This window comes from Homo sapiens, chromosome 1 (assembly GCF_000001405.40).
Source record: "Homo sapiens chromosome 1, GRCh38.p14 Primary Assembly".
In the NCBI taxonomy this organism is placed as follows: Eukaryota; Metazoa; Chordata; class Mammalia; order Primates; family Hominidae; genus Homo; species Homo sapiens.
This window is the reverse complement of record NC_000001.11, coordinates 103,325,195-103,328,668: the sequence shown is the minus strand read 5'-3', so window position 1 is coordinate 103,328,668 and position 3,474 is coordinate 103,325,195. Positions and strand designations below refer to the sequence as shown.

General features: G+C 41.7%; 1 annotated feature.

Annotated features, from left to right (window-relative positions):
* Window positions 1,027-1,076: an enhancer, noted in NCBI's record as "active region_1412". NCBI's record gives its function as "activates an Ori minimal core promoter by ATAC-STARR-seq in GM12878 lymphoblastoid cells {active_cell/tissue: GM12878}" and the evidence as "EXISTENCE:reporter gene assay evidence [ECO:0000049][PMID:35858748]".

Here is a 3,474-nt window from a genome sequence, read left to right as displayed (position 1 = left end):
AAGAAAAGTGTGAGATGAGAAACAGAGGGTTGTTTTTCAGCTCTGAAGTGTGCCGCGTAAGTGAAGAGATGAAGCTATTGAGGCAGACATGGCTTGGTGATGTACCCTATACAAAAATGCTGTGCTTTATTCATAGGTAAATTGGAATATTTAAAAGTATTTTTTACTGGGTAATATAATTTCTTTACCTCACTTGAGCTGAAAAACAACTCGGATATTTCAAGGAAGTCTGTTTTATGCAGATTGCACAGAATCTCGAAAAATGCTTTTCTCATAGTAAAATATATCAATTATAGACCACTAGACTCTTTAGTGGCATATGAATTTAGTGTGATAAAGAGTATAAAATACAGTATCAGTATTTCTAAGATTTTAGCAGAGTCCTCAATACCTTTCAGCTTGTAAATTTTTAATAATAAATGCCAAGGTAGTAAGCTCAGAAGAATATGTTCATTGAAGTAAAGTAGATGACTGCTTTGAACCTCACTTGTTACTTTCATGATGGCTTCCAAGGCCCCAATTTTTATTTTTTTAATATGTGAAACACTAATGACAGTTCAAGCTAAGAAAACAAGATCAGATTGTTTTCTTTGATCAGGATTCAAGTAAAAGGCTATAAAACCATTAATTTGGCATATGTTTGCAGCAGAAAAGTTGTCAAATGCAAACTATGAAAACCACGGACACACTGCAACTGATAAGAGTTTGTACTTCATTGAATCATTGTGTTATGTTCAGTCTAATCACTAGACTAATGCATTTTCTTGACAAATCAGGGAAAATTTTGCTCCCATTAAATAGAACATTAAAATTTAGTATTTTTGTATTAAGGAATTTAATATTTAGTCATAATGCATTATTTTCTATATCTGCCAATAGGATTCTTCAAAATATTCTTTTGAAATATGAAGAAGGTGGATTTTACATTTTTGGAAGGAGGTGGAGCAAGATGGCAAAATAAAAGGTTCCACCCATTGTTATCCCTGGCCAGGACACCAAGTAAACAATCATCTACAAAGAAAAAAAACACCCTCATAAGAACCAAAAATCAGGGGAGCACTCAAAGTATCTGGTTTTAACTTCATATCACTGAAAGAGAAACTGGATAGAAAAAACAGTTCTGAATCACCAACAACACTCATCTCCCACCCCCAGCAGCAGCTACCTGGTGCAGAGAGCAAATCTGGGCCTTGGTGGATGGAGAACACAGCAACAGCGAAGCACTGAACAAAGTGCTGTTCTGTTGGAGCAGAAAGGAAAACCTGATCAAACTCACCTGCCCACAGGGGGATCATTTAAACCAGCCCTAGCCAGAGGGGAATTGCAGATCTCAGCATCTGAACTGAGATGCCTGTAAACCTCACCACTGAGAGCTACAGCACTCTGTCTCCAAGTAAAACTGAAGGGCAGTCTAGGCTGTAAGGACTGAAACTCTTACGTGAGTCCTAGTGCTGAATTAGGTCCAGAGACAATGGGCGGGACTGGCAGGGGAACAGGAGAGCCACATACCGAGACACCAGCTGGCATCACCCTCCCCTAGTCCCAAACTAGACAGTTCATGGCTCCAAAAGACACCATTCCTTCCACTTGACAGGAGAGGGTAAGTGAAGACTTTGTCTTGCATCTAGGATACCAGCTCAGCCACAGCAGTATAGGGCACTAGTCAGAGTCAGGAGGCCCCCATTCTAGGCCCTAGCTCAGAGATATTTCTAGAAACACCCTGGGCCAGAAGGGAACCTGATGCCTTGAAGGAAAGGACCCAGTCCTGGCAGCATTCACCATTTGATAACTTAAAAACCCTTGGGCTCTGAATAACCAATGGCAATACCCAGGTACTACACTGAGTTCCTTGGGTAAGCCTCTGAGACTTGCTTGCTTCAAGTGAGACTCAGCACATTATCAGCTGTTGTGGCTACAGGGCAAAATTTCTTCTGCTTGAGTAAACAAAGGGAAAAGCAAAGATAACTTTGTCTTGCATGTTAGGTACCAGCATGGCCACAGGAGATTAGAGCACCAAGTGGGCTCTTGTGGTCCCCAATTCCATGACTTGACCCTTGAACAGCATTACCAGACCTGCTCTGGGCCAGAGGGAACCTCACTGCTCTGAAGGGTGAGTCCCAGGCCAGGTAACATTCTTGACAAGCTGATTTAAGAGTGCTTGGGCCTTAAGGGAACATCAGCAGTAGTCTGGCAGTACTCTTCGTGGCCTGGGGTGATGGTGACTATGGGGTGAGCCTCATCTGCCTTTGGAAAGGGGAAGGAAGGGTGGGAAGGGCTATGCCTTGTGGTTTAAGTGCCAGCTCAGCAACAATACAATAGAATACCAGGTAGATTTCTGAGGTTTTTGACTCTAGATCTTGACTCTCAGATGGCATCTTTGGACCCACCCAGGGCCTGGGGGGCCTTGCCACATTGAAGGAAAGGACGTCAGCCTTACTGGCTTTGCCACCTGCTAATTGTAGAGCCCCAGGGCCTTGAGGCCTTGAGCAAACATGGGCATTAGCCAAGGATTGGTGACGGCAGGCCTTGGGCAAGACCCAGAGCTGTGTTGGCTTCATGTCTGGTAACCCAGAAAATTCTCCTTGATCTTCTCTAAGACTACCTAGGCAGTAACTCTACAAATCTGCCAGAAGGATAGCATTGCTGGGCTTGGGATGCCCCCTAAAGCAGATACAACTTAGATCACAATACCCAGGTCCTTTCAAATATCTGGAAAGCCTTTCCAAGAAGGATGGCTATAAATAAAGCCAGACACTAAAGATTATAATAAATACTTAACTCATCAATGCTCAGACCCCAAAGAACACCTACTAGCACCAACATCTTCCAGGAAAACATGACCTCACCAAATGAACTAAATAAGCCACCAGGGACCAATCCTGGAGAAACAGAGATATGTGTCCTTTCAGACAAAGAATTCAAAATGGCTGTGTTGAGGAAAGCCAAGAAATTCAAGATAACACAGAGAAGGAATGCAGAATTCTATCAGATAAATTTAACTAAGAGATTGAAATAATTAAAAAGAATCAAGCCGATATTCTGGAGCTGAAAAATGCAATTGGCATACTGAAGAATGCATCAGAGTCCTTTAACAGAAGAATGGATCAAGCAGAAGAAAGAGTTGGTGAACTTGAAGACAGCCTATTTGAAAATACATAGTCAGAGGAGACAAAAGAAAAAAAGAATAAAAAACAATGAAGCATGCCTACCGGATCTAGAAAATAGCCTCAAAGGAGCAAATCTGAGTTATTGGTCTTAAAGAGGAGGTAGAGAAAGGGATAGGGGTGAAAGTTTATTCAAAGGGATAATAGCAGAGAACTCCCCAAACCTAGAGAAAGATATCAATATCAAGTACAAGAAGGTTATAGGACACCAAGCAGATTTAACCCAAAGACTACCTCAAGACATTTAATAACCAAACTCCCAAAAGTCAAGAATAAAGAAGGGATCCTAAAAGCAACAAGAGATAAGAAA